A 27,805-nucleotide genomic window follows, 5' to 3' on the forward strand; every position below is an offset into this window, starting at 1 on the left:
TGGATTTCTCAGTGTAGAGATGGGACGCCAAGAAGCGAGATGATTTGTCTGTGCTCACACAGCTAGAGCGCTGGCTTTAGACAGTGATTCTTTCGGCCCCTGTGCATCTATTAATATTCTCCCTAGAATCTGGGGGGTGGCAAGGTCAGAAGCCCCTCATTGGGCCCTTGATTCCAAAGTGTGGCACCCAGCCTCTGTGCAGATAGCCCCCAAGACCAGACTTAGTCTATCACAAGGCAACCCCCGGCCTTGTGGGTGAGAAGTCAAGAAAAAGCCTCACCCTGAGCCCACTCTGCCTCCCTGTAGCTTTTCCCTCAGACCTGGTTTTGCTCCCTGAATTGGCATAGCACAAATCTCCCCTCTGCAGAACGTCTCTTCAGAAACCATACCCCCTTCAAGGTCCCCAACTCAGACCAATGAGCTTTGGAAACCTACCAATTCCCAGGGCTCAACCAGACAACCAGGCCCGCATCTCTGGAGAGGAGACCTGGGAGTCTCTATATTTTTGCTTCCCATGTGATGCCATTTAGGTCTGGGAACTACTGACCCGTTCTAGTCTTAAGCCTGTGTAGGATTCCTTCCCTCCTTTCCTTCTTTTATTCTTTCTTTCTTCTCTCCCTCTCCATATCCCTCCCTTGCTTCCCTCATTCCATATAGATATTCATACAGCTTGTGCTTGATTACCCCAAGGATGAAGTTGTCCAGAGACTTGTCACAAAATCCAAATTAGCTAATACCACTCCTGTACAGTACATGCAGTAAAGTACAACTTTAAAAATTTAAGTGAGCTTTTTTTTTTTTTTACTTCTTGTTCTTCATTTTTTATTTTATTTTTATTTTTGAGATGGGGTCTCCCTCTGTTGCCCAGTCTGGAGTGCAGTGGTGCCATCTTGGCTCGCTGCAACCTCCGCCTCCCAGGTTCAAGGCCTCAGCCTCCCGAATAGCTGGGATTACAGGCGTGCACCACCATGCCTGGCTAGTTTTTGTATTTTTAGTAGGGATGGGGTTTCACCATGTTGGCCAGGCTCTTCTCAAACTCTTGACCTCAAGTGATCCACCTGCCTCGCCCTCCCAAAGTGCTGGGATTACAGGTGTGAGCCACCGTGCCCAGTGAAAATTTAAGTGATGCTTTCCAGCCCTTAATGAGAATACCTGGGCTTTGGATCATGATGAGGGACTGGAAACACCAGGAGAAGGTGGGGGAGTCAGGGCCAGCTAAGCTCCTTACTCACTGGGGATTCACTTCTGCACACCTGCCTCATTGCATGATGGGTCCAGATGCATGTCTTGGGTCCAGATGCATGTCTTGAGGACAGTGTCAATCACCACATGTCCTGATTTTTTAAGGGCACTTACTAATGATAAACTAAAAATATTAAATCTGATGATGCCAAGATCCTCTACATAAACAATCTAATATATTAGCCTAGTGTATACAAACGGTAAAATATTATGAAGATTCATAGATTGAAAGTTTATACTTTCACTTCTATTTCACACCACACACAAAAATTAACTCAAAATAGATCAAAGCCCTAAATGTAAGAGCTAAAACTATAAGACTCTTAGAAGAAACTATAGGGATAAGTCTTTATGATCTTGGACTTGGCAATGGATTCTTAGATATGATATCAAAAGCAAAAGCAATTATAGAAACAACATAGATAAATTGGACTTCGTCAAAATTTAAAACTTTGTCTGGGCACAGTGGCTTATTCTTATAATCCCAGCACTTTGGGAGGCCGAGGTGGGTGGATCGCTTGAGGTCAGGAGTTCCAGACCAGCCTGGCCAACATTATGAAACCCCATCTCTACTAAAAATACAAAATTCAGCCGGGGTGTGGTGGTGCTACTTGGGAGCTGTAATCCCAGCTACTTGGGAGGCTGAGGTGGGAGAATTGCTTGAACCCAGGAGGCGAAGGTTGCAGTGAGCCGAGATCGCTCCACTGCACTCCAGCCTGGATGACAAAGTAAGACTGTCTCAAAAAAAATAAAAAATAAAATTAAATTAAAATTAAAACTTGTATGCACCAAAGGACACAATCAGACAGTAAAAAGATAACCCACAGAAAGGGAGAAAATATTTACCAATCATATATCTAATAAGGGTTCAATAACCAGAATATACAAATAATTCTTAAGACTTAACAACAAAAAAAAAAACCTAATTAAAAACGGGCAAAGAACTCTCATAGATATTTTCACAAAAAAGATATACAAATGGCAAGAAGCACATGAAAAGATCCTTAACATCGCTAATCATTAAGGAAATACAAATCAAAACCACAACAAGACACCACTTCACACCCCCTAAGATGGCAATTAAAAACACAGTCCCACACACAAAAGATGGCAAATGTTTGCAAGGATGTGTGGAAACCGGAACCATCATACTTGCTGGTGGAAATGTAAAATGGTGCAGCGCCTTTGGAAAATAGTTTGGTGCTTCCTCAAAAAGTTCAACATATGGAATTATATGGCCCAGCAATTCTGCCGGGTATATACCCAAAATAATTAACAACAGGTTCTCAAACAAATAGTTGTACACAATTGTTCATAGCAACACTATTCACAAGAGCTGAAAGGTAGAAACAACCAAAAAGGTCACCTATTTATCGTCCCATGTATATGAGATATTCAGTTAGGTAAATCTGTAGAGACAGGAAGTAGATTTGTGTTTGCCAGGTGAAGGGGGAGAGAGGAATGGGGAGGGACTGCTGAGTGGGTATAGGGTTTCCTTTTGGGGTGAGGAAAATGTTTTGGTTGCAAAACATTGTGAATGGATTAAATGCCGCTGAATTGGGCACTTTAAAATGGCTAATTTTATGTTATGTGAATTTTACTTCAATTTTTTAAAAAGTTGTACTCTGAGTAACCCAGAGTCAATGGCACACAGGCATTTTTGCTTTTACTGTGCCACAACCTCAAACCAAGCCCACTCGGAGGCTGGTGCAAAGCGAGTCACCCAGCAGGTTGGGGGGAGGGCGGCTCCCCTGTGGCAGGCCAGGGTCATGGGGATCCTGGAGACGTCCCTCCTTGTGACTCAGGCTGTGCAGCACCCTGTTCCCCCCCATCTTGCTTCCTTGCTCCCCTGCCCCTCACGAGATCTCACCTCCCTGGGTCTCCTCGTTTCGTTCCAAGCTCCAGCTCTTGCTGAGACTCCCTTCCTCTGCCACCCTCCGGGGCCCTCGGGACACCCTCTGTCCACCTGCCTTACCCTCCCAGGGCCTGCACAGCCACCCGGCCTTCTCTACCCTAATGCCCCCACCTCAGAAAACCACACAGCCTGTGGGTTGGGGCCTCTACACATATGTGCGTTAGGAGTTTACCTGGGCTTTCAGGCAGCCTCCTCTCACGTCCTCCAAGTGATCCTTACAAACCTTCCATTTTCCCCTAAACTCCCCTCCCAAATCAGCTTCTTCAGTCTCAAGATGCCTTTGCCTTCTTCTCCCACTCAGGAAATGGGGGCTGTCCCAGGGGGCTTCTTCCACTTCCTGTGCCCATCTTCTTCCTCTCCAAAGGGTTCCCAGCCCCTCCGGAGCCTCCCTGCATCCATTCTTTCTGCCCCTTCCCCATCTCCACCCTTTGCCTTGCTTTGATTCCTTCCCTCAATCTAAACACAAGTTCAAGTCTCTTGCAGTGTAGAAATAAATTAAATTAATAAACAAGAGAAAAACAAAAAAATTACGTTCTCCTGCATAACTACGAAATGCCATTAGCTTGCCTGACAGAATCAACAGTCATTCCCTGATCTTATTTTAATATGTCGTCTAAATCCAGATTTCCCTAATTTTCCCCCGTTGTCTGCATTGCTATCCTTTTTCAAATCAGAACTTAGTAAAGACTATTTATTTGTTTTCTACATCCCTTAACTCTCTTAGCAGCTTCGCAACCTCTCTCTGCCCCTCTTTTATTCATGACATTGACTTTTTGAAGAGGGCAGGTCAGTTGCTTTGTAGAATGCCCTCCATTCTGGATTTGTCTGGTTCTTTGCTGCGGTGTCACTTATCTGACTCTCCTGTCTCTTGTATTTCCTGCAAACTGGAATTAGATCTGAAAGTTTGATTGGATGCAGGTAACTACTTTCGGCTATAATACTTCATGGGGGTTTTGGGTTGCTATACCGGGTATCACAGCAGGAGGCACAAATGTCTGTGTCCCACCTTTACAGATGCCAAGTGTGATCCCGGCCTAGGGTGTGGCCAGCCACCCCTCTCCATTGTAAAATTACATTTTTCTCTTTGCAGTTAGAATCTGTGGAAACCATGAAAATAACCCACTCCCCACCCACCTTGCCCCTCATGTTTTTATCTTTTGGTGGCATTTCTCCCTGGGATCACGCCCATTTCTCCCTGGGATCGTGCCCATTTCTCCCTGGGATCACGCCCATTTCTCCCTGGGATCCCACCCTTGTTCACACTCCCTTCACTTCCTCAGGCCTGTCACTCCACCTCTTCCCACCGGATGTGCCCTGCTTAGTTTCTGTGGTAGGCTGAATGATGCCCCCATCCCACGGTTGCCTATGTCCTAATCCCTGGAACCTGTGAATGCCACCTTATATGACAAAAGGGACTTTGCAGATGTGATCAAGTTAAGAATCTCGAGCTGGGGGAGATTATCCTGGATAATCCAGGTGGGCCTGATATAATCTCAAGGGTCATTATAAGAGGGACGCAGGAGGATCAGAGTCGGACAGAAGGGGACGTGATGATGGAAGCAGAGGGACAGAGACAAAGAGATCTGAAGATGCCCTGCTGCTGGCTTTGAAGATAGAGAAGGGGGCACAAGCCAAAGGATGGAGGTGGCTTCTGGAAGCTGGAAAGCCTGAGGAAATGAATGCTCCCCAGAACCCCCAGAAGGAATGCAGCCATGCAGAACTATTGCAGACTTCTGAGCTCCAGAACTCAGATAATAAGCGTGTGCTGTTTTAAGCCACTAAATTGTGGTAACTTGTTACAGCAGCCACAGGAAGCCAAGACAGTGTCCTTCAAATAATTCTCTTTTTCCTCATCCCCCTGAGTGTCTGTGGTCTCCTAGGCTCTGTGCTCTACCCTCTTCTCACTGGATATGCTGCCCCTGGACAATTTCATCAACTCTTGTGGTTTTAACTGTCACCTGTCGACTAGATATGCCCCAATTTTCAGCACTTTGGTTCAAAAATCAGCACTGCTAGAGACCAAGGCCAGTGGAACGGCCCAAGGCATGGGGCTCAGCCCCAGGTAGGGACAGGCTCTGAGAGCAGAGGCAGCCAGCTGGTGTTCCCCGAGGTCTGTGCTTCCTGAGTGCAGTCCTTGGAGTCCAGCAGATGGGGCTGCCCAGGGCCAGCAGGGATGGTGTCCTGGGGCCAGCAAGGACTAGACTTTCCCAGGAGTCCTTAAAACCACAGCCAGTTTTGCAAAGAGTCTTGAAGGGGGGACTGTGTAATGTGGGTGGACAGGAGAGTATGTCATAGATCTGGGGAATTACTATGCCTTGGCTGGTAGTCAGGAGGTTGGCAGGACATGATCAAGTTAAGATGGGATGGACTGTGCCTCTGGCTACAGTGAAAACTGCTCTAGGGAATTGCTATAAACAAGGACAGTGGGGAGAAAGGGACAGGCAATGGTAAACTCAAAACCATATGGTTGGCAAGATCTGCTTTCCAGCTAGGACTTGTCTTAAATTTGGGCAATGTTCTTTGGTGCTGATTTTTCTACCCAGATTAAGTCTAGTGAAGCAAAGAAGCAGTTCTCCTTTCTCTTTGTAGGTAAATGCAGCAAAAAGGCCTTCAGTCCTTGAACTGCGAGAAAGTTGGGTTTTATGTATGCCCAGTATTTTTAACTATAGTTCTGTCACTGACAGCAGGAAGTTGGTTGGTTCAGAAGGCACACCTATAGAAGAGGGAATGGCTATCTTCTGTTTGGAGAGACTTGGCCTGTGATAAGACCGGGAGAGAGCTGTTCCTGCAAGGCCAATCTTTGGAGCTTTTACTCTCTATTGACCCTTAGTAACCCTCAGTTTTCACACCATTTTGCCTCCTAGCTGCCTATACTACAGGGTGGGTGATCACTCCAGCAAGCTTGGTGCCCTTTGTTGTATATAAAAAGCTGAAACTTTGATCTTGAAAGGGTGGCCCTAGCAGTGCCCCCGGCCTTTGAAATGTCACATGTTCGAAATCTTCAGTTTTTTGCTATGGCGACTTTCCTCATCATTGCTATATCTTAAAAACAAAAAAACAAAACCAAATAACCAAACAAACAAACAAAAAACCATGATCTTTCATGATCTCATGCATTAGAACTCGCATTTTAATAAAAGTCATCTGTAAAGTCTGAGTTCTCAGTTGTAGGGGTGAAACAGATAGGAGTTCCTGTTGTATTATGGATTTAAAGAAATAGTGACCAGGCCGGGCGCGGGGGCTCACGCCTGTAATCCCAGCACTCCTGACCTTGTGGTCAGCAGATCGAGACCATCCTGGCTAACACGGTGAAACCCCATCTCTACTAAAAATACAAAAAATTAGCTGGGCGTGGTGGCGGGCGCCTGTAGTGCCAGCTACTCGGGAGGCTGAGTCAGGAGAATGGCATGAACCTGGGAGGTGGAGCTTGCAGCGAGCCGAGATCGTGCCACTGCACTCCAGCCTGGACAACAGAGTGAGACTCTGTCTCAAAAAAAAAAAAAAAGAAAAGAAAAGAAAAAAAAAGAAATAGTGACCAGTCACACAGGTAAATGGGCCCAGTGGAAATTCATGGAGTATGGATGACAGGCCAAAAATGCCCTGGGGGAGAAAATGAGGAGGCAGTGCCTAACTGTGACAGGTGAGGCAGGTAGAGCTTTGGTCATACCAAGCCTACAAGGCAGGTGCTTGGGTTACCCCTATTTGAAAGACAGGGAAACTGAGGCACAAGGAGCTTTAAGTAAGCTGGGACAAGTAAGCTTGTCCCAGATCACCCTACTAATAATTAGGATTCAAATATGTGGTCTGGCTCCAAACCCCTTCTTGTAATCATAGCACTACACTGCCTCTTTAAGAGGGAAAAGGGCTTACTCGCTCTAAAACCGGAGAGTCCCAACCTCATCTCAGCCAGACATTGGCACATTTCAAGGTGGACTTCCGCAATAGGTGTGGTCCTTTGACCAGGGCCCCCGGGAAAAACCCCATCAGACCCTCTGAATCACTGTCACCAAAATTTCCAGCTTGGCCCCCTCATGTCAACCCCTGGAAGATTCAGGAACCACATAGGGTGGGCTCTCTAGGAGCTGCCCCAACAGGGACCCACGGACAGCGCTCCCTGACCAGGTGACCTAGCTGGGCTGCTGCGACTGCGCTTTCATACTTCCAGCCTCAGGGAAGGGAAGCATCTCCCCACAAGCTGTCAAACCAAGGGATCCTAAGGAGGCTCGAGATCCTGGTACCAAAAAGGTGCTTATTTTATTAGATAGCCCTGTTGCACACACCACTTCTCCACGGGAGATCGGGGACTGGCATTAAGTGCAGTCTTACTAGAATATCTAACAGAGCAAGAGTCCTGGCAGCCCGAGGGAATGGAATGGTCAACAGCCCGAGCCTCAAGTCTGCAACCTCCTAGGCAGTCCTGGGCCCCAGAGGGCAAACAGCATGCTCCAGAGATGGAGCCATGCTACCCTTGGTTCAAGCCCAAACCACCCCAGTTCTCCCCTTCAGAGGAAGTGGCTGTCCATCCATCCAGCCTTGACGGACCTCCCTGACCAAGAACATGCTTCCCTAGCTTTTTCCCAAGGTTCTGCGAGAGCTTTCTTCCCCTGACCCTGCCTCAGAACATTTCTATAGCTGTGGGACCAGTTTACCCTGGGCCAAGTACATGCGACCTGTAGATCCCCTGCCCCAGAGTAGGGGGAGCGGGCACTTAAGGATGCAGGTACCTGGCCGGGCGCAGTGGCTGACGCCTGTAATCCCAGCACTTTGGGAAGCCAAGCTGGGTGGATCACTTGAGCCCAGGAATTCAAGACCAGCCTGGACAACACTGAAACCCCATCTGTACAAAATAAAAAATTAGCCGGACATTGTGGCACATACCTGTGGTTCCAGCTACTCGGGAGGCAGAGGTGGGAGAATCGGCTGAGTCCAGGAAGTCAAGGCTGCAGTGAGCCGTGATCACGCCTCTGCACTCCAGCCTGGGCGACAGGAGTGAGATACTGTCTCAAGAAAAAGAAAAGAAAAGAAAATGCAGATACCTAAGCCCAACCCCTAGAGAGTTTGTTCAGTAGGATGGCAGTAGGCTGGAGTGGCTCAGAAATCTGTATTTTAAACAAGCTCCCTAGGTAGTTCTGATACACATTAAAATGTAAAGAGCTAAGATCATGCGACCCAGTGTGAGAATTCCCAAGCCTGAGGCTCAGCTCCACCTGTCGCAAGCGGGTTGAGCTGAAATAATTCACTTGCTCCCTTTAAGCCTCAGTTTTTTCATCTCTCTAATGGGAGCAACACATGTTCTGCTAAACTCACTAGTTTGCTGAAAATCGTATCAGATAATGGATGTTGTGATCAGCTGGAAAATGATGCGTCAATAGGTGTCTCCATCTTAATCCCTGGAACCTCTGCACGTTACCTTATATGGAAACAGGGTCTTGGCGGCTGTGATTAAATTAAGGACTAACTTAATTTGAGATTGGGAGATTATCTTGGATTTTCCAGGTGGGTCTAAATGCAATCACAAGCATTTTATTAGAGATAAGCAGAGGGAGATTTGACACACAGAGGAGAAGATGATGTCAAGACTGAGGCAGAGACAACACAGAGACAGCTAACACTGACGTGTTAAGCAGTGAGTGCCACAGAAATATTTACTGCTGTTATTACTTAGACTGTAGGTGTTAACTGGGCCTGGCCTCGCCATTCCTGATGAAAACTCCTATGTCTATGAATAGCCTCTTCTAGAACTCGGGCTTTGTGATGTCTTTCGGATATTTTGAAGGCTTCCAACAGAACAAGGCATGCATTAAACGAAAGCAAATAAGCTTTACTACAACCATATCTGAAATGTGTTTTCCTGATCAAGTGGGATGGGAAAGAACAGTGAGTGGAGTCCCAGGCATGTTAAGAATGGCGTGCTGTTTTTTAAGTGGTGAGTGGAATGTATTTGTACATTGCCCCAGCAAATACTGCTGTTCAATGATTGTGTGGTGCTGAATCCTGTAGGGTCATAAAAAGTCTAAGCCTCTTAGAATAAGAACCTTACTAATAATATGCCTTGAGTTCACACAGTTCCTGTTACTCCAGGAGCTCAGGGAGCTTTTCTGAATCTTCTCTACTTTATTCATGTTCCTAGGAGGTGATAGATACATTTTAAAGAAAAGGAAACAGGCCAGGTGCGGTGGCTCATGCCTGTAATCCCAGCACTTTGGGAGGCCAAGGCAGGCAGATTGCTTGAGACCAGGAGTTTGAGACCAGCCTGGTCAACATGGCAAAACCCCGTCTCTACTAAAAATACAAAAATTATCCAGGTGTGGTGGCGGGCACCTGTAATCCTAGCTTTTTGGGAGGCTGAGGCATGAGAATTGCTTGAACCCAGGAGGCAGAGGTTGCAGCAAACCAAGATGGCGCCACTGCACTCCAGCTTGGGCAGCAGGGCGAGACTGTCTCAAAAAAAAAATTTTTTTTTTTTTTGAAGATTCGAAACTAATATGTCAGGGAAGAGGAGTACAGAAGAACACACATCCAGGGACTCATGGAGCCGCAGAAGGAGAGAGCAAGGGAGTTTTCCAGTGAGGTTAGCAGCTGTGGCTGACCCGCTTGGGACAGATTCAGGAGAAACTGCTGACCTGGTCTGGAATGAGGCCTTCTGTGGTTTTAGGAAAGGGATTACCACTTATGTTTTCTACCTCGCACCACCTCAGGGGTAGCTGCAGAACTCTCATTTTTAAAAATTTGATTTTAATGTCAATTCTGACCTTACAGCCAGGGATAATGATTGAAATATTTAACAGCATAGACAGCAGGGATAATGAGGACAGACGCTGGCCGTGAGCAGCTGCACTGGCTGTGTGACTTGACTGGCCTCAGTCCTATGGCGCCACGGCTCGCTGAGGAAGAGGAAAGTCAAAGTTGAACGTGGAGGGGTCTTGGTGTCCCCGTTCCACCAGGATCAGGAATGGGTTCCAAGGGGCATGGGTGTAGGGAGGCGAGAGGAAGAGAGTAGGCGGGACTGCCCGTCAGCCCCTGCCTGCGGCTCCCAGGCGTGGCTTCCCAGGTGTGGGCCTCAGACTGGCCCACTGAGATTCCCCAGCCTCTTCCAGGACAGACTCAGCATGTCTGGGAGGGGTGGGGGACAGAAACCAGTGTGGTCAGCAGCGCCCTGTGACTCTGCTGTCTGGAAGTGTTTGAAAAGCCAAGTCCTCCCACCTCCAGCCCCACCCTACCTGTCCCCCACCCTCTTTTTTTTTTTTTTTGAAACAGAGTTTTTTGCTCTTATTACCCAGGCTGGAGTGCAATGGTGCAATCTCGGCTCACTGCAACCTCCACTTCCCAGGTTCAAGCGATTCTCTTGCCTCAGCCTTCCCAAGTAGCTGGGATTATAGGCATGCGCCACCAAGCCCGGCTAATTTTGTATTTTTAGTGGAGATGGGGTTTCTCCGTGTGGGCAGGCTGGTCTCGAACTCCTGACCTCAGGTGATCTGCCCACCTTGGCCTCCCAAAGTGCTGGGATTACAGGCATGAGCCACCGTGCCCGGCTCCTCTTAATAAAATAATACTAAGGTGCCTATTGCCCACTTTCTCATCCACCTCTTGTTCTCTAACAATATCATCCCCTGCTCCCCAGCAGCAATGCTCCTGGGTCATCTAGCCTGAGGCTAGAGGAAGCAGAAGGCAGGAATAAAAACTGGAGAAAGTTTGTACCCTTTGACCAACGTCTCCCTATTTCCACTCCCCGCAGCCCCTGGCAATCACCCTTCTACTCTGCTTCTGCAAGCTTGACATTTTATTTTATTTTATATTTAATTTTAACTTAATTTTATTTTGAGACTGAGTCTCGTTCTGTCGCCCAGGCTGGAGTGCAGTGGTGTGATCTTGGCTTACTACAACCTCTGCCTCCTGAGTTCAAGCAATTCTCCTGCCTCAGCCTCCCGAGTAGCTGGGATTACAGGCGCGTACCGCCATGCCTGGCAAATTTTTTGTATTTTTAGTAGAGACGGGGTTTCACCCTGTTGTCCGGGCTGGTCTCGAACTCCTGACCTCAAGTGATCTGCCTGCCTCCGCCTCCAAAAGTGCTAGGATTACAGGCGTGAGTCACTGCGCCTGGCTGAGCTTAACTATTTTAGATTGCACATATGAGTGAGATCAGGCAGTGTTTGTCTTTCTGCGTCTGATTTGTTTTACTGAGCATAATGTCTTCCAGGTTCATCCATGTTGTTGCAGCTGTCAGGATTCCCTTCTTCTTTAAGGCTGAATAATATTCCACTGTGTGTGTGTGTATACACAGATATGCCACATTTTCTAGATCCATTTATTTGTCAGACATTTAGGTTATTTCCACATCTTAGCTATCTTAAATGTAATTACCACAGAAAGGAAGGAGGGAAGAGGAAAGAAAGTGGCAACTATGTGAGGTGTTACGTTAACTGGCTTAACCGTGGTGACTATTTCACAGCGTATGTCAAAAACAGCAAGTTGGAGGCCAAGGTGGGAGGATTGCTTGATCCCAGGAGTTTGAGACCAGCCTGGACAACACAATGAGACCCTGTCTCTACAAAAAAAAAAAAAAAAAAAAAAAAAAAAAAAAGGCAGGGCGTGGTGGTTCACACCTGTAATCCCAGCAATTTGGGAGGCCAAGGCGGGCGGATCATGACATCAGGAGATGGAGACCATCCTGGCTAACATGGTGAAACCCCGTCTCAACTAAAAATACAAAACCAGCCAGGCATCGTGGCTGTAGTCCCAGCTACTAGGGAGGCTGAGGTGGGAGAATCAGACTCCCAAACCAGTGAACATTAATTTTGGCCATTCATTCTCCTAATGTACATTTGAGTCTACACAGTCACTACATGCTGGGGACAAAGTCTGTGTTTGTTTCTTTCTCTTTATTATTGGCCTCTTTTTTTCATCATTTCTTTTATTAAAATTCATGCAGTCTTACACACACAGGGAGTCTTAATCTGCCTCATAATATTCGAAGTAGACATAGTATATATTTTTGAAACTTTAAAAGAACCTCAGTGACAACCGGGCTGCTTGTTTTGCACATGGGAAAACCAAAACATAAAAAGAAGTTAAATGTCTCATTCAAAGTCCACACCTCCTAATGCAGAGCTAGATCTGCATTTAGAACCTGCTAGAGCTGTGTGTCTCCTTTGAGTGGACAGACACCCTGACCGGACCAGCCTTTGGCTGTGAGGAGTGCAGCCGGGGAACATGCTGCCGGTGGCTAAGGGCAGTGATGCACCCAAACTTAACTTCAGCCAAACGTGGCTTCAGCACCTCAAGTCTGTTCCAGCCTTGGGGGCTTATGAAGGCCAGGCAGCCGAAGGCCGACTTCAGCCTTCTTTCTGGAACTCTCCTGAACTTGTACGTAATCGATGATCTTGTGATCACGTGGATTACCACTGTGCCTCTTCTGCGTCACCACATCAGTCATGCCAGCAATGCCACTTGGATTTATTGCTAACATCGGAATATTCACTCCCAAATATATGAATCCATTTTAGATGTAGCTTGGAAGGAAAGATCTCCTTATTTGCTTGTATGTTGGGATTCTCTCAGTCAACAGAAAATAGCTGTTGTATTTATTATTGTAAGAATAAAACACTACAATAATTAATGATGTTTGTGGAAGCTGCTAATTTTCATCCAGAAAAAGTTATTAACAACTTTTAAGTTGTTAAATACAGACACAAATTGACAATACTAAATATTATGAGAGTCCACTAACTAGATACTTTTGGGAAGAATACTATATCCTTTTTGACCCAACACATGTTTATAAAAATTAAATAATAATAGAGGGCTGAATAATGGAGAATATATTTTATTGTGAATCTAACCTTTTTAGTTGTTTGGGGGTACTAGATTAATAACAGTAAACCAAATAAGCTATAAAGGCTGGGCACGGGGGCTGATGCCTATAATCCCAGCACTTTGGGAGGCCGAGGTGGGTGGATCACCTGAGGTCAGGAGTTCAAGACCAGCCTGATCAACATGGTGAAACGCTGTCTCTACAAAAAAAAAATTAGCTGGGCATGATGGCAGGTGCCTGTAATCCTAGCTAGTCAGGAGGCTGAGTCGGGAGAATCGCTTGAACCCGAGAGGAGGAAGTTGCAGTGAGCCGAGATCATGTCATTGCATGCCAGCCTGGGCAACAGAGTGAGACTTCATCTCAAAAAAAAACCCTGGCCGGGCGCAGTGGCTCATGCCTGTAATCCCAGCACTTTGGGAGGCTGAGGCGGGCGGATCACAAGGTCAAGAGATCGAGACCATCCTGGCCAACATGGTGAAACCCCGTCTCTACTAAAAATACAAAAATTAGCTGGGCATGGTGGCACGCATCTGTAGTCCCAGCTACCCAGGAGGCTGAGGCAAGAGAATCACTTGAACCCGGGAGGTGGAGGTTGTAGTGAGCTGAGATCGCGCCACTGCACTCCAGCCTGGCGACAGAGCAAGACTCCGTCTCAAAAACAACAACAACAACAACAGCAACAAAAGCCCTGTAAGAATCATATTAAATATTTAGTAATTTAACTTCATTTAGTTCATGACTGTTGCTTCTCTGCAGGACTCAGTTGAAATTAAGTCTCTATTTAGAATTGCAAATGTGCAGCACCCTGGTGCAGGAGGAATCTAGCTGCCCAGGATGCCGATCAAGACCTACTGAACTGAAATGGCAAACTTTAAAAATGGACTCCAATTTTTGTTGTTATCATTGTTTTTGTTTGTTTTTGTTTTTGTTTGAGATGGAGTCTCGCTCTATCGCCCAGGCTGGAGCGCAGTGGTGTGATCTCGGCTCACTACAACCTCCACCTCCCGGGTTCAAGCAATTCTCTTGCCTCAGCCTCCCAAAGTAGCTGGAATTACAGGTGCCTGCCACCAAGCCTGGCTAATTTTGCATTTCTAGTAGAGACAGGGTTTCACCATGTTGGCCAGGCTGGTCTCGAACTCCTGACCTCAAATGATCCACCTGCCTCGGCCTCCCAAAGTGCTGGGATTACAGGCATGAGCCACTGTACCTGGCCAAACTCCAGTTTCTAACAATAAAGTGTAATTACATTTTAAAGTCAAATTTCAGATTTGTTCTTGTGTCCTCGAATTCATTGAGGGTGGTGCTCCTGCTTCGTCGCTGGCTTTCACTCAGGTTCCGTATTATTCCTAACAGCCTCCCCGCCCCCGTGTGTTTGTGCAGCTCTGGATGGAGCGATGAGGGCAGGTGCTTCTGTGAGCCCTTTCATGTTCCCTTCTCTTCTGTCCTCTGCTCCCGCAGCAGGGGAGGCCTGAGAAGGGCCATGGTTTCCAATCTTATTGTGCAACAGGAGAGGCGAGCGGGATTGGGAACTCATCTCCCCAGTGTGCTCTGCAAGGCCGGCCAAGCTGGCTCCAGGATGCGTGGTTCCCATGGCTTGACCATGGCAGGGGGTCTGGGGATGCCCAGCAGTGAGAAGCATGGTGGGTCACCTCTCTCGTGTGTTTCTCTCCTTCCTCCCTGATAGTTTGTGAAGTTTGCCAACATCGAGGAGGACACCCCGTCCTATCACCGGAGCTATGACTTCTTTGTGTCCCGATTCAGTGAAATGTGCCACTCGAGCCATGATGACTTAGAAATCAAGACCAAGTGAGTAGGGGAAGGCAAGGGTAGTTGGTTCAGCTTACAGCAGAAGCAACGGTGGGTCCTGTAGATAACTTCCAACCTGCCATTGCGTGTCTGCTTTTGTTAGTATCTGTGTCTGCTCTGATGTTGCCGGGCAGGTGGGCCAGCACCCAGCTCCCTACATGTGGTTTCTGTTTTTTTTTTTTTTCTTTTTGAGACCGAGTTTCACTCTGTTGCCCAGGCTAGAGTGCAGTGGCGCGATCTTGGCTAACTGCAACCTCCGCCTCCCAGGTTCAAGTGATTCTCATGCCTCAGGCTCCCAAGTAGCTGGGATTACAGATGTGCACCACCACGCCCGGCTAATATTTGTATTTTTAGTAGAGATGGGGTTTTACCATGTTGGCCAGGCTCATCTCAAACTCCTGACCTCAGGTGATCCACCCACATCGGCCTCCCAGAGTGCTAGGATTACAGGCGGGAGCCACTACACCCGGCCCCCACATGTGGTTTCTAAAGGAAAAACTGCTTGGGCCAGACAAAGGGGCTCAATGTAAGATAACAGTCCTTTGAGCCCAATTTGAGAGCCAGTGACAGAACACACATGTGTACACACACACAGCCCTCCATACACTCTTTTGTTCAGAATTATATGCATTTATACTCCAGAAACACACCCACTCACCATTAACCATCAAAATCTACACCTACCAATAAAGAGCCAAAGTTCACACTTTGGCTGATCCCAGCTGCATTCTCCACTCCATCTCCTTGGCCCTCCTGCTTGCTCGTTCCCCTCCAGCACACCACAGACACTGCCTCAGGGCCTTTGCACAGTCTGTGCTTGTGCTGGGAATGCTTCCTCCAGGGATCTGCATGGCTCACTGCATCGCCTCTGTCAAACCTTTGCTCAAATGTCCCCTTGTCAGTGAAGCTGCCCTGCACACCCCCACATGCCCACTCCTCCCTCACTCTGCCGGGGTTTCTTTCCCCTTTTAACATGTTTCATACATTACTCTCTGTGTTTCTTGTTCACCACCTGTCTCTTCCCACTGGGATGTAAGCTCTGTGAGGGCAGGGTCCGTCGTTTTACTCACGGATGCATCCCAAGCACTAACACTGCCTGGAGAGCAGTGGCACTTGACAAATTCTTGTTGAGTGAATAACAGAATGAATGAACACCCTCAGACAAGCATCTTGCCTTACGGGATACGCTTTTACATACACATACTCCAATTTATAAAAACACTTAGCTCACAGAAGCATACTTGGACATAGAAGCAAAATCTCTCAAATAAAATCACAGAGAAATTGACCAGGTGCAGTGGCTCATGTCTGTAATCTCAGTACTTTGGGAGGCTGAGGCAGGAGGATCACTTGAACCCAGGAGTTTGAGGCCAGCCTGGGCAACATAATGAGACCCCACCTCCACAAAAAATAAAATTAGCTGGGCATGACTGCACGTGCCTGTATTCTCAGCTACTTAGGAGGCAGAGGTGGGAGGATCTCTTGAGCCTGGGAGGTCGAGGCTGCAGTGAGCCATGATCGCACCCCTGCACTCCAGCCTGGGTGACGGAGTGAGACCCTGTCTCAAAAAAAAAAAAAACAATTAATCACAAAGAAATTAAAATGAATATATGCTTCCAAGGCAGTAGACCGACTCCTGGGCAGGGCCCGGTGCAACTGTGTGGCATTGTCTGGGTTCCCCCAGTCCCCGAGACTCTCATAAGCCAGGTGTGGACTCTGCAGCTGCCCTGCCTGAGTGCCTCTGGTGAGGCCAGAGTGGGGTATGGGAGGAAGGAGCCCCTCATCCTCTCCCAGAATTAGCTTCCTGAGTCACCACCATTGCAAAATGGCTATGAAGAGCCAGAGGGGCTGGAGCTGTGGGGGCATGTCCAGAAGCAGGTGTTAGGGGAGGTATAGGACCATGGCCACATATGTCTGTAACACATGCTGCCCACGCAGGCCCTGCCAAGCTGTCCCAGGGTGGTGGGGGAGTGGATGGGCCACTCATGCCACTGCACACACGTGCACACACGCACACATGCACACAGACACATGTGCACATACACATGATCTGTAGTGTGTGATGTGGTCAGCACTGTGTTCCAGCAGGATCAGGAGTTTCCTGAACATCAGGAGGAAGGCTGCTGAGGTTGGCTCCCAGCCACCAGCAGTGCCATTACACCCACAGGCTGGCGCTGGTCACCCATGACAGGAAGGCCTGTGGGTGAGAGAGGGTGGAGGAGGGATCTTCTGGTGTCAATTTTCTTCCTTCCTCCTCTTCTTGCCTTTCTCTTCCGTCCCCTCCCTGCACCCCTTTTTCCCTGAGATCTCTCCTGTTGTTCATTCTCAGCCTTTTTAGACTCAGCTGACCCGGTGGCAGCTGTGCTGGGCTGTCCACACACATAGCATCATTTTGGTCTAGGAACCCAGAGGCTGCCTCTGAATGCCATTGACTGCCCTTTCCAGTAACACCCTTGGGTCCAGCAGTGGGCCTGTGCATGCAAGTGTGTGTGTGTGTGTGTGTGTGTGTGTGTGTGTGTGTGTGTGTGTGTGTGTGTGATTCCTCAGGGTCAGTGGATCAGTATTATCTGATCTTTCCTTGGATTCAGAGACTTCATGGGGCCCTTGGTCATGGGTAGATCTCCACTGTGCCCATTAAGAGGAGCAGTAGGGCCGGGCGCAGTGGCTCACGCCTGTAATCCCAGCACTTTGGGAGGCCGAGCGGGGCGGATCACAAGGTCAGGAGATTGAGATGGAGACCATCCTGGCTAACACGGTGAAACCCCTATTTAGTCTCTACTAAAAATACAAAAAAAATTAGCCAGGCGTGGTGGCGGGCACCTGTAATCCCAGCTACTCGGGAGGCTGAGGCAGGAGAATTGTGTAAACCCGGAGGCAGAGCTTGCAGTGAGCCGAGATAGTGCCACTGCACTCCAGCCTGGGCAACACAGCGAGACTCTGTCTCAAAAAAAAAAAAAAAAAAAAAAAAAGGAGCAGTAAGGGCCAGGTGTGGTGGCTAAAGCCTATATGGCCAGCACTTTGGGAGGCTGAGGCAGGCAGATTACTTAAGGTCAGGAGTTCAAGACCAGCCTGGTCAACATGGTGAAACCCCGTCTCTATTGAAAACACAAAAAATTAGCCAGGCATGGTAGCGCACAACTGTAGTCCCAGCTACTCAGGTGGCTGAGGTACAAGAATCACTTGAACCTGGGAGGTGGAAGTTGCAGTGAGCTAAGATTGTGCCACTGCACTCCAGCCTGGGCAACGGAGTGAGACTCCGTGTCGAAAAATAAATAAATAAATGAATAGGAAGAGTAAGAAGCTTCCTCCCCCTCCAGGCCTGATCTTTCTGAACTTCTTTTGAAAGGCACGGTCAGCTCTGGGTGTCACAGAATGAATCGTGCATTTGTGGAAGGGATTCTGGGGAGACTGAAGGTGAAGGAGTGCAAGGTAGTTAGGAAAAGAAGAAAGATTAATTCACATGTACACATAAGGGAGCCCTGGGTAGAAGTTTTTCTGCCAACCAGGCGTTGTTTCCTGCCAGCCAGGCCCACTTGGACGGGACAAACGAGTCCAGCATGCTGGGGATGTGTGTCACTTGTCCCTTGGTTAGGGAGTGCCTTTTTAAACTGGAACTAAGAAGAGTCAGCAGGACAGTATTCCTGATCGTTCATTCCCAAGTCCGGACAGCTGCCAGCTCAGGGTCTTGAATGTGGTCAGGGTCAGGACAGCGTGGCCAGGTGCTTCCAGGGAATCCTTGCCCATCGCCAGTGGCCCTAAAAGTTTCTGGGCCAGGGTATCCTGTTTCTCCTAGGCTGCTGCCACCTCCAGCCACAGTTCCTCGGTAAGACCCAGGGTAGCACCCTGGCAACCCCAGTTAAAACCAAAGTTAAGGCCAGGCACGGTGGCTCACGCCTGTAATCCCAGCACTTTGGGAGGCCAAGGCGGGAGGATCACAAGGTCAGCAGATCGAGACCATCCTGGCTAACACGGTGAAACCCTGTCTCTACTAAAAATACAAAAAAATAGCCAGGCGTGGTGGCGGGCGCCTGTAGTCCCAGCTACTGGGGAGGCTGAGGCAGGAGAATGGCGTGAACCCGGGAGGCGGAGGTTGCTGTGAGCCGAGATCGTGCCTGGGTGACAGAGCGAGACTCCGTCTCAAAAAAAAACGAAGTTAAAAATGCAACTGGCAACTCAACCTTGAGAAAAACTGCTCATCTCCAATAATCACAAAAGGATTTGAATTGAAATAGCTACAAAATGTGAGGATTTTTTGGAGTCATAAAATTAGAACAGATGTTTAAAATGAGATCCTCAATACTGCCACAGGCACTGTGAGAGTGGCATTCTCCTGCGGCTTGCGCATGGGCAGGGGGTGGGGGCAGTTATTTTGGCAAATTGGGAGCCTTTCATTTCCTTTTTTGAGACAGAGTTTCACTCTTTCATCCGGGCTGGAGTGCAGTGCCATGATCTCACATGATCTCAGCTCACTGCAACCTTTGCCTCCCAGGCTCAATCAGTACTTCCACCCCAGCCTCCTGAGTATCTGTGACTACAGGTGCGCACCACCATACCTGGCTAATTTCTTTCTTTTTTTTTTTTTTGAGACAGGGTCTTACTCTTTCGCCTAGGCAGGAGTGCAGTGGCATGATCTCCGCTTACTGTAACCTCCACCTCCTGGGTTCAAGCAATTCTTTCACCTCAACCTCCCGAGTAGCTGGGATTACAGGTGCCTGCTACCATGCCTGGCTAATTTTTGTATTGTTAGTAGAGACGGGGTTTCACCATGTTGACCAGGCTGTTCTCAAACTCCTGACCTCAGGTGATCCACCCACCTCGGCCTCCCAAAGTGCTGGGATTACAGGCGTGAGTCACCGCGCCCGGCCTAATGTTTTAATTTTTTGTAGAGATGAGATTTTGCCATGTTGCCCAGGCTGGTCTCGAACTCCTGAGCTCAAGCTATATACTGGCCTTGCCTCCCAAAGTGCTGGGGTTACAGGTGTGAGCCACTGTGTCTGGCTGCCTTTTATTTCTTACCTTTTGACTCATTGATTCCACTCATGGCAATGACTTGAAACATAGTAAAATATTTCATACAATGATGCCCATCATAGCATTATTATAAAAGTGAAACGTTTGGCCAGGCACGGTGGCTCACACCTGTAATCCCAGCATTTTGGGAGGCTGAGGCGGGTAGATCATGAGGTCAGGAGTTCAAGACCAGCCTGACCAACACGGTGAAACCCTGTCTCTACTAAAAATACAAAAATTAGCCGGGCATAGTGGCACATGCCTGTAATCCCAGCTACTCAGGAGGCCAAGGCAGAAGAATTGCTTGAACCCGGGAGGCAGAGGTTGCAGTAAGCCAAGATCGCACCATTGCACTCCAGCCTGGGCGACAGAGCCAGACTCCACCTCAAAAAAAAAAAAAAAAAAAAAAAAAGCAAAACATTTGGAAACAACTTAAATGACTAATAGTCACTAGTTTAGAAAGGTCTTATGATAGTCTATCAGGCAACCATTCAACATGTTTATGAAGAGTTAATGACATAGGAAAATGCATAGAATGTATGTGAAAAAAGCCAATACAAATAAAATATGCAATAGGTTCTTAATTCTGTTATATATTATGCACAGAAGAAAGGAATTACATCAAAATGCCAATAACAGTTATGTTTGATAACAAAGATAACAGTGGTAGTGGTGGTGGTAGTGGTAAATCTTCTCTTCTCTATACTTTTCTATGATTAGTATGTATTATTTTATAACCAGAAAAAAGGTTTTATAAAAAAGAAAGAAAGAAACTTCAGTCTGAAATAAATGGCTAGTAAAGAGGGCTCCCTCCCACAGAGCTGTGCTGACCCTGGGTTCACATAGCAGGGACTGGGGGTGTACAAAAGGGGCTCCTGCTGTGCTGTTACTCAGTTTCCCCTCTGGTTAACCCTAGCTCCAAGCCGACACCCCTTTGTGCCCAGAGAGCCTGCAGCTCTGTGCCTCTCCCTCTGGATCCGCCTCCCCCTGCCCCCGCAAGTTGCTCACAGCCTCGGATTCTGCTTCATCAGTTCTTGGCAGCGTTTTGAGCTCTTACATCTTGGGCCCAAGCTGGAACAACCCCAGCTAAGTACTAAAGATGGGGAGCTGGAGCATCCAGCACCCTAGGGCTGGAGCCCAGATGGTACCAGGGCAAGGGCAGCCTGGGAGTCTCCAAGATGATTAAAAAGACATGGCTTCCTGGGCTCATGTCTGCCAGCACCAGGAGGTCTCATGAGAGTAGCAGCTGGTCTCCATTCTGCCTTCTGATGGACAAATGTATCCCTGACTCCTAAGCTGTGCTCTTCTCTTAGCCACCGAAGCTGGACTTCTCAGGGCTAGAGGACTTCCGAGTCCCACTTCACCCTTTTCCTTACAGAATTCGAATGTCAGGCATCAAAGGCCTGCAAGGGGTGGTGAGGAAGACGGTGAATGATGAACTGCAGGCCAATATCTGGGACCCACAGCACATGGATAAGATCGTTCCATCACTGCTTTTCAATCTACAGCATGTAGAGGAGGCAGAGAGGTAAGCAGGCCGGGATGGGGCAGGACAGTAGATATAATCAACCCTCCAAGGGCTGCTTGGGAACCACATGGTTTGGGTTGGTCAGTAAAACTCAGCTACAAGGCCAGGGACATGGCTTTGTGGCTTGTTCTGCAGTGAGTCCAAAGCTGGCTCCCTAGAAGCCATGGGTCTGACTTTGTGCCAGCCCACAGTGTCCCTTAACATGTGCGTTACCGAAGGAGGACAGTGTTGGTGCTGGGCTCCCTGGTGGGTAAATCTGTTGGTAATAACACACAGAACCAAGAGTCTGGTTACCTTTGTCTCCCTGGAAGCAGGGCCAAGGAGGCTTTAAGATGCCTTTTGTGGGCCGGGCGCGGTGGCTCACGCCTGTAATCCCAGCACTTTGGGAGGCTGAGGCGGGCAGATCACGAGGTCAGGAGATCGAGACCATCCTGGCTAACACGATGAAACCGCGTCTCTACTAAAAAAAAATGCAAAAAAATTAGCTGAGCGTGGTGGCGGGCGCCTGTAGTCCCAGCTACTCGGGAGGCTGAGGCAGGAGAACGGGAGCCCGGGAGGCAGAACTTGCAGTGAGCCGAGATCGCGCCGCTGCACTTACAGCCTGGGCGACGGAGCGAGACTCCGTCTCAAAAAAAAAAAAAAAAAAAAAAAAAAAAAAAAAAAAAAAAAGATGCCTTTCATGGCTCCGATCACTGCGGACTTTCCATCTGGACCTTCCTTCCTCTGTTGCTTCCTGATGCTATTTCAGGCCCTGAAAACGTGCATGCTTGACCAGCCCGCAGCCACTCAGTAAGAGCTTGCAGATACTGGGTTTTAATCCTGGATCCCCTAAGCATGGGATTCATTCCTGTCCCTGCACCCTCATTTTTCCCCTCGGTGAAATGGAATGGGGAGAAAGGCCCACGTTGCTGTCCCACCTGGGCTATCTGTGCACTAGGCTAGTTAGGTCGGTTGATCCCAGGCTACTAGAGCTAGACTCGGGTCGACGGGGGCGGGGGCGGGGGCGGGGGCGGGGGCGGGGCGTGGGGTGGGGCGTGGGGTGGGGTGGGGTTCGTATGCCATCTGGTGGCTGTTTCTGGAATAGCATCTCACTGACAAGCTGCTGTGGTCTCTGGGCTGGGAGTCCTCCGGCTCCTGTTCTGTCCAGATGTGGGCCCACTCCCTGTGACTTGAGTATCATTGACTCTTGCCTGAGCCAACCACTGTGCCTTTCCTTTTCCCTCCCTCTCTTTCCTCTCCTTTCTTCCACTTCTGTTTTGTTTTTTGCCTCCCTTTCCTATCTTCATCTCCCATCTCCTTTTCCTTCTGAAGTCTTAGGTGCATCAAGACACACATGTTCTACACCTCACCTGGCCCATGGGGCTCAGAGCATCCTTCCCACAGTGGTACATCTGGAAATCTTTAAGGATTTCCAGAAAAAGAACTTTATCTTTTCTTCTCCGGTCTTCCCCCACTTCCCCCAGTGGGGGCTTCTTTACCCCCATTTAATTTCTGACAGCTGTGACGCCTCCCCTATTGCCTAGTGCAACCCATGTCAAATTCCTGCTTGTCTTGTGTGGATGAAACACGGAAAGCCGGGATTGTACAGAGCCTGACCCCAGCCTGCATGCCACCCTCTACCCATGTGCCTCTGTCTCCCCAGCCGGTCTCCCTCACCCCTCCAAGCACCTGAGAAGGAGAAAGAGAGCCCCGCGGAGCTGGCTGAGAGGTGTCTTCGGGAGCTGCTGGGCCGGGCTGCCTTTGGCAACATCAAAAACGCCATCAAGCCTGTTCTCATGTGAGTGCCCCCACCCACTGCCTTGGCCCCAGCCTTCAGCCTGGATGTGTTTCAGGTCCCTGGCATCTCCTGGCTGGCTGGGGGGAAGGGGATATTACAGTTGTGGTGCCGCAGCCGAGTCGATCCCTTCCCTGTGCCTGTGTTCCCTGCACTGTGACAGCAAAAGCTGCCACAGGGTGGCCAACTGCTGCCAGTAGGAAGGCACCCAACGCTAAGCAAAGGTGCCCAGCTTCACCACACACATCCACAACTGCAGAGCGCTGTCCTTGGCCTCTCTCCAGCACTGGACTGGGACTACCCCAAGGCCCTTCAGGCTTCACTTCCTCACCCGGGAACTGTGCGAGGGGCTCTGAGAAGGTGTCCCTCTGCCTCCAAGCTAATCTCTTCTCCCTAACACTGCCGGGAGTTTCATAGTTGTTCCCCCACGTTTTCTCCCTCACAGCCATCTGGATAACCATTCTCTTTGGGAACCCAAGGTGTTTGCCATCCGTTGCTTTAAAATCATCATGTACTCAATTCAGGTATGGTGGCTCCCCTGGGCCAGCCGGATCCCAGGACAAAGGCCTCTCTAGAAGCTAGACGGGTGCTAAAATAGAAAGCCAGAAGTCCCCTGTGACTCCTCCGAAGCCCCCAGTTGCCGAAACCAGTGCTGCTTAAGCTAGCTGTGGAGAAGGGCCGGCTGATTTTATTTCCAGTACATCACAGACCAATACTTTTATAAAATACAATTAAAACAAATAATTTCTAGAAAAATTAAATAAAAAACTCATGCAAAATGCAAGCCTACAGATCACACCCTTGGCTGCTACAGCATTGACAAATTGTTTACTAAACACTGACTTTCCATCCCATCCTTATCTCAGTGTAAACCAATATCAGACCTATCTTGAATGGGCACCAGCCCAGGGGCCCCACTTTAGGCAGCACTGGACTAAGCCATGTGGCCTCCCGTGGCTCTTGCCGGAAAGACCTGAAGAAATGAAAGGAAGACCCTATTTTAAAATGGTCTTTTGACCAATTTTGAAGTAAAAGGGCCCTGGAAAACTGTCAGCTGAGGCCTCCACTGGGATTTGGCTCTTTGTTGGAGGGAGAAGGGAAGGATCCAGTAAAGGGCACGAGGTGTCAGTGCCAACTGCAGTGCCCGGGGCCTTGGAACGTCCCTTTAGTTTACCCCCGCCTTTGGGTGCCAGGAGAGGGCTGCGCAGCCCAGGGACCCCGTGGGGTTGCTGTCCAGGCCCAGCTCATCTTCCTCCCGCAGCCGCAGCACTCACACCTGGTCATCCAGCAGCTCCTGGGCCACCTGGACGCCAACAGCCGCAGCGCTGCGACGGTGCGCGCGGGCATCGTGGAAGTCTTGTCGGAAGCCGCGGTCATCGCTGCCACCGGCTCTGTGGGTAAGGGGCATGGCTAGGGCCTGAGGGCCGGGGACCCCGCGGAGGCTGCCGCCTCTTACAGAGAGAGGCAAGGGACAACAGGGAGGGGTCGGAGTCCGTTTTCCTCGGGAGAAGTCCGCCAGGAAGTTGGGAGCGCAGAGGAAGCCCAGGCTGGAAGGGGGCGTGACCCTGCCCTGCCTGCGCGCGGTGCACAGAGGAGGAGGGTGCCAGCCTTGGATCTCGGGTGTCCCGCCCCACCGCTCTCAGGGCCCACAGTACTGGAGATGTTCAACACGCTGCTGAGGCAGCTGCGGCTCAGCATCGACTACGCGCTGACCGGGAGCTACGACGGGGCGGTCAGCCTCGGCACCAAGATCATCAAGGAGCACGAGGAGCGCATGTTCCAGGAGGCCGTCATCAAGACCGTGGGTGCGGCGCGGGGCCGGGCCGGGGCGGGGCGGGGCCGAGGCGCGGAGTGGGGAGGGGAGGGGAGGGACGGGACGGGGCCCAGGGGCTCAAGACTGAGGCGCAGGGCGGGGTGGGGCCAAGGGGAGGAAAGAGGGACCCTGGAAAGGGGCGGGGCACCGGGGGCGGCCCGGGGATGGGGGTTGGAGAGGGAGGGACCGCACTGGGGCGAAGGGCATCCAACCGGGCCCCTGTAGGATTGTCCAGCACCCACATGCTATTCACGGACCTCGGAGAGAATGAAGTCGGGAAATGAAAGGACTGGCTGGGCAGGGCCTGAGCGACAGCGCAAGCAGTCAGATGAGTGTCTCAGATCTGAAGTCTCAGGCGAACCTTCTTTAGTCCCAGTCACCATCAGACCTGCCTGATGCTTCCAGGTTAGGGCTTCCAGGAGGGAGAGATGGGGACTAAGAGAAAAGAATGAGGAAGGGGGCCAGCCGCGGAGAAAATGTGTGTGCTCCTGGGAGCGGAGATTAGATAAAGCCTCTTTCACAGCCTGCCTGCCCTAGCCATGTGAGCTTCCCTTCAGCCTGGAGTAGGCAGGTTAGGAATGCAGAACCATTCTTCTCTCTTAGTTCGTGGGAGGAGGATTTACCCTAGGGCAGCCAGTGAAAGAAGCACCCAACGAGAACTCGGGCTCCCCCCGACCCCCCGCTCCGCCCTGGTCCCAGGGCCCAGCATTCACCATCCCCACCCCCTAGCCAAGGAGTCAAGACCTTAACCACAGCCTCAGGAACAAGTGAAAAAACGGAGCCTGGAAGAGACCTCCAAAACCACCTGATGCCTCCCTTTCCTGGAGAGGCCGAATCACACCCGGGCTATCCTGAATCCCTTTCTCTGGTCCTGGATTGACTCCGGAGAGAGGCAGCCCTCGCTCTCTGCAGCTGAAAGGCTGAACCAGGAGGGGCCCTGGAGCCTGTGCCTCACTGGGCACCCTCTCCGCCACCTCCTGCAGGCTCCTTTGCCAGCACGCTGCCCACCTACCAGCGCTCCGAGGTGATCCTCTTCATCATGAGCAAGGTCCCGCGGCCATCCCTGCACCAGGCGGTGGACACAGGCAGGACGGGGTGAGCCACCAATCTCCCCCAGCCTGGAGTCCTCCTCTCCCCCAGCTGCATTTTCTGACCCCCTCCTTTATCCCTCTTAATTTTCTTGGCTCTGCCCTCTGCTCTCTTTTTACTCCCAAATCCCTCAGCAGCCTTTAATGGGGCTCTTGGATCCCACAGTTTCTCAGGCTGCCCCACCAATAACCACCTCCCAACGTGGGGGGAGCCAGTCATCTCTTGGTCGGCTTCCTGGGTCCGGAAGTCACTGTCCTGGGTAACCCAACACGATAAGCCTCATGGAGAAACGAATTGGGGTAGAACTAAGCTGGCAAGTGTGTGACCTCTGCCCTATTACCATCCTGGTGAGTGTTTGTGTCTCTGGTCTACAGGGAGAATAGGAACCGTCTGACCCAGATTATGCTGCTAAAATCCCTCCTGCAGGTGAGCCCCATCTATCCCCATTCCTGCTCTTCCTCTGCAGGAGACAGCTCCTTCCAAGGGACCAAGTGAAGGCCTCCACATACAGTCGTGCATGTGGCATACTGCACAAATACACCCAGTCGGTTGAGTCGGGGCTGAAATCTAGCCTACGTTCCACTCACTAGCCAGGCTGGGCACCCACAGAGCTGGGTCAGCCACAGCAAATGGGGAACCTGTTTCTAATTTTCACAAAGGTTCCTTATTGGCTACTGATAGCGTTGTCACTCAGACGTGATCTGTCTTGAGACGGAATCTGTTGGTTCCCGCCCTGGTTCCCTCCTGGTACCCCCTCTTTCCCTTTTCCCCTCTGTGTCCCCTGTTTTGCCAGCACGTGTTCTTGGCACATGTGCCCACCTCAGTCTCCCAGCCCCCATCCTTCCCATGCTGTGTTTTATTTAACTCTTCTTTACATCTTTGCAGCCATCACTGGAGTCTAGATCCATTGCTCTCAAACACCATTCCGATGACAGTCTTGTGATAAATATATGATTCCTCAGAGGTTTTAAGCTGTTAGCCTGAGTGAGGTCCTGGAATCTGTATTTGTAACAAGTTCCCCAGGTATTCTGAAGCACAACCCCTGGCCTAAACCTGACATCTCACAACCACCTCTCCCCACCTGTCAGAAACTCAGCTACAACAGTAATTGTCTAGAAATGCTGTTCTCTACCAGATGCCTCTTATTTCACAGTAGGTCTCAGTTTATATTTTTTTTTTTTTTTTTTTGAGATGGAGTTTCGCTCTTGTTGCTTAGGCTGGAGTGCAGTGGTGCGATCTTGGCTCACTGCAACCTTCGCCTCCCAGGTTCAAGTGATTCTTGAGTAGCTGGGATTACAGGCGCATGCCACCACCACGCCTAGCTAATTTTTTTGTATTTTTAGTAGAGACGGTGTTTCACCATGTTGGCCAGGCTGGTCTTGAACTCCTGACCTCAAGTGATCCACCTGCCTCGGCCTCCCAAAGTGTTGGGATTACAGGCATGAGCCACTGTGCCCGGCCTCAGTTTATAATTCATGTACAACCAGATTTCAAACTTCTCAGACTGAAGTTGGGAGGTCCCCAGTCCCCTCTCCCTCCCTAGACCTCCTGTCTCATCTCTCAATCTCTGTCTCAGTTCTGGCCATGCCAATCTAAACAGAACTCCCCCGACCCCGCCGCCACCTCACACCTTCCCTTCCCTCCCCTCCAGTCCACACTCTTCATGGCACTAGATTTTTATAAACCCTTTGTGCTCCAACACTGCCCTCATTTAGTTATCACCTTGGTCTCCATATTCCTGCCATTTCTTTGCTGAGTTTATCCTCATTAATTTGTACCCAGCATTTTCTTAAGATAACAGTTTGGGGTACATCCTT

At 49.7% G+C, this 27,805-nt stretch overlaps 1 protein-coding gene across 2 annotated transcripts in view, besides 2 other annotated features; it reads left to right on the top strand.

Moving 5' to 3' along the window:
* EFR3B (EFR3 homolog B) overlaps positions 1-27,805 on the top strand; it is a 117,060-nt gene that overhangs the window by 64,945 nt on the left and 24,310 nt on the right. For both annotated transcript variants that reach the window (NM_014971.2, NM_001319099.2), the window contains exons 5-12: positions 14,653-14,774; positions 21,163-21,312; positions 22,955-23,089; positions 23,532-23,610; positions 24,348-24,483; positions 24,730-24,891; positions 25,883-25,994; positions 26,363-26,414. In NM_014971.2, coding sequence (NP_055786.1) covers positions 14,653-14,774; positions 21,163-21,312; positions 22,955-23,089; positions 23,532-23,610; positions 24,348-24,483; positions 24,730-24,891; positions 25,883-25,994; positions 26,363-26,414 — 948 coding nt within the window. The remainder of the gene's footprint in view (positions 1-14,652; positions 14,775-21,162; positions 21,313-22,954; positions 23,090-23,531; positions 23,611-24,347; positions 24,484-24,729; positions 24,892-25,882; positions 25,995-26,362; positions 26,415-27,805) is intronic.
* Positions 16,874-17,043: an enhancer, noted in NCBI's record as "experimental_58220 CRE fragment used in MPRA reporter constructs". NCBI's record gives its function as "activates a minimal promoter by MPRAs in K562 erythroleukemia cells, with activity observed for both the introgressed and non-introgressed 2:25346848 variant alleles {active_cell/tissue: K562}" and the evidence as "EXISTENCE:reporter gene assay evidence [ECO:0000049][PMID:34662402]".
* Positions 24,280-24,574: a silencer, noted in NCBI's record as "tiled region #11705; HepG2 Repressive DNase matched - State 21:Repr". NCBI's record gives its function as "represses a minimal TATA promoter and a strong SV40 promoter by Sharpr-MPRA in HepG2 cells {active_cell/tissue: HepG2}" and the evidence as "EXISTENCE:reporter gene assay evidence [ECO:0000049][PMID:27701403]".

The sequence above is a fragment of the Homo sapiens genome, chromosome 2, assembly GCF_000001405.40.
Source record: "Homo sapiens chromosome 2, GRCh38.p14 Primary Assembly".
Classification (NCBI taxonomy): Eukaryota; Metazoa; Chordata; class Mammalia; order Primates; family Hominidae; genus Homo; species Homo sapiens.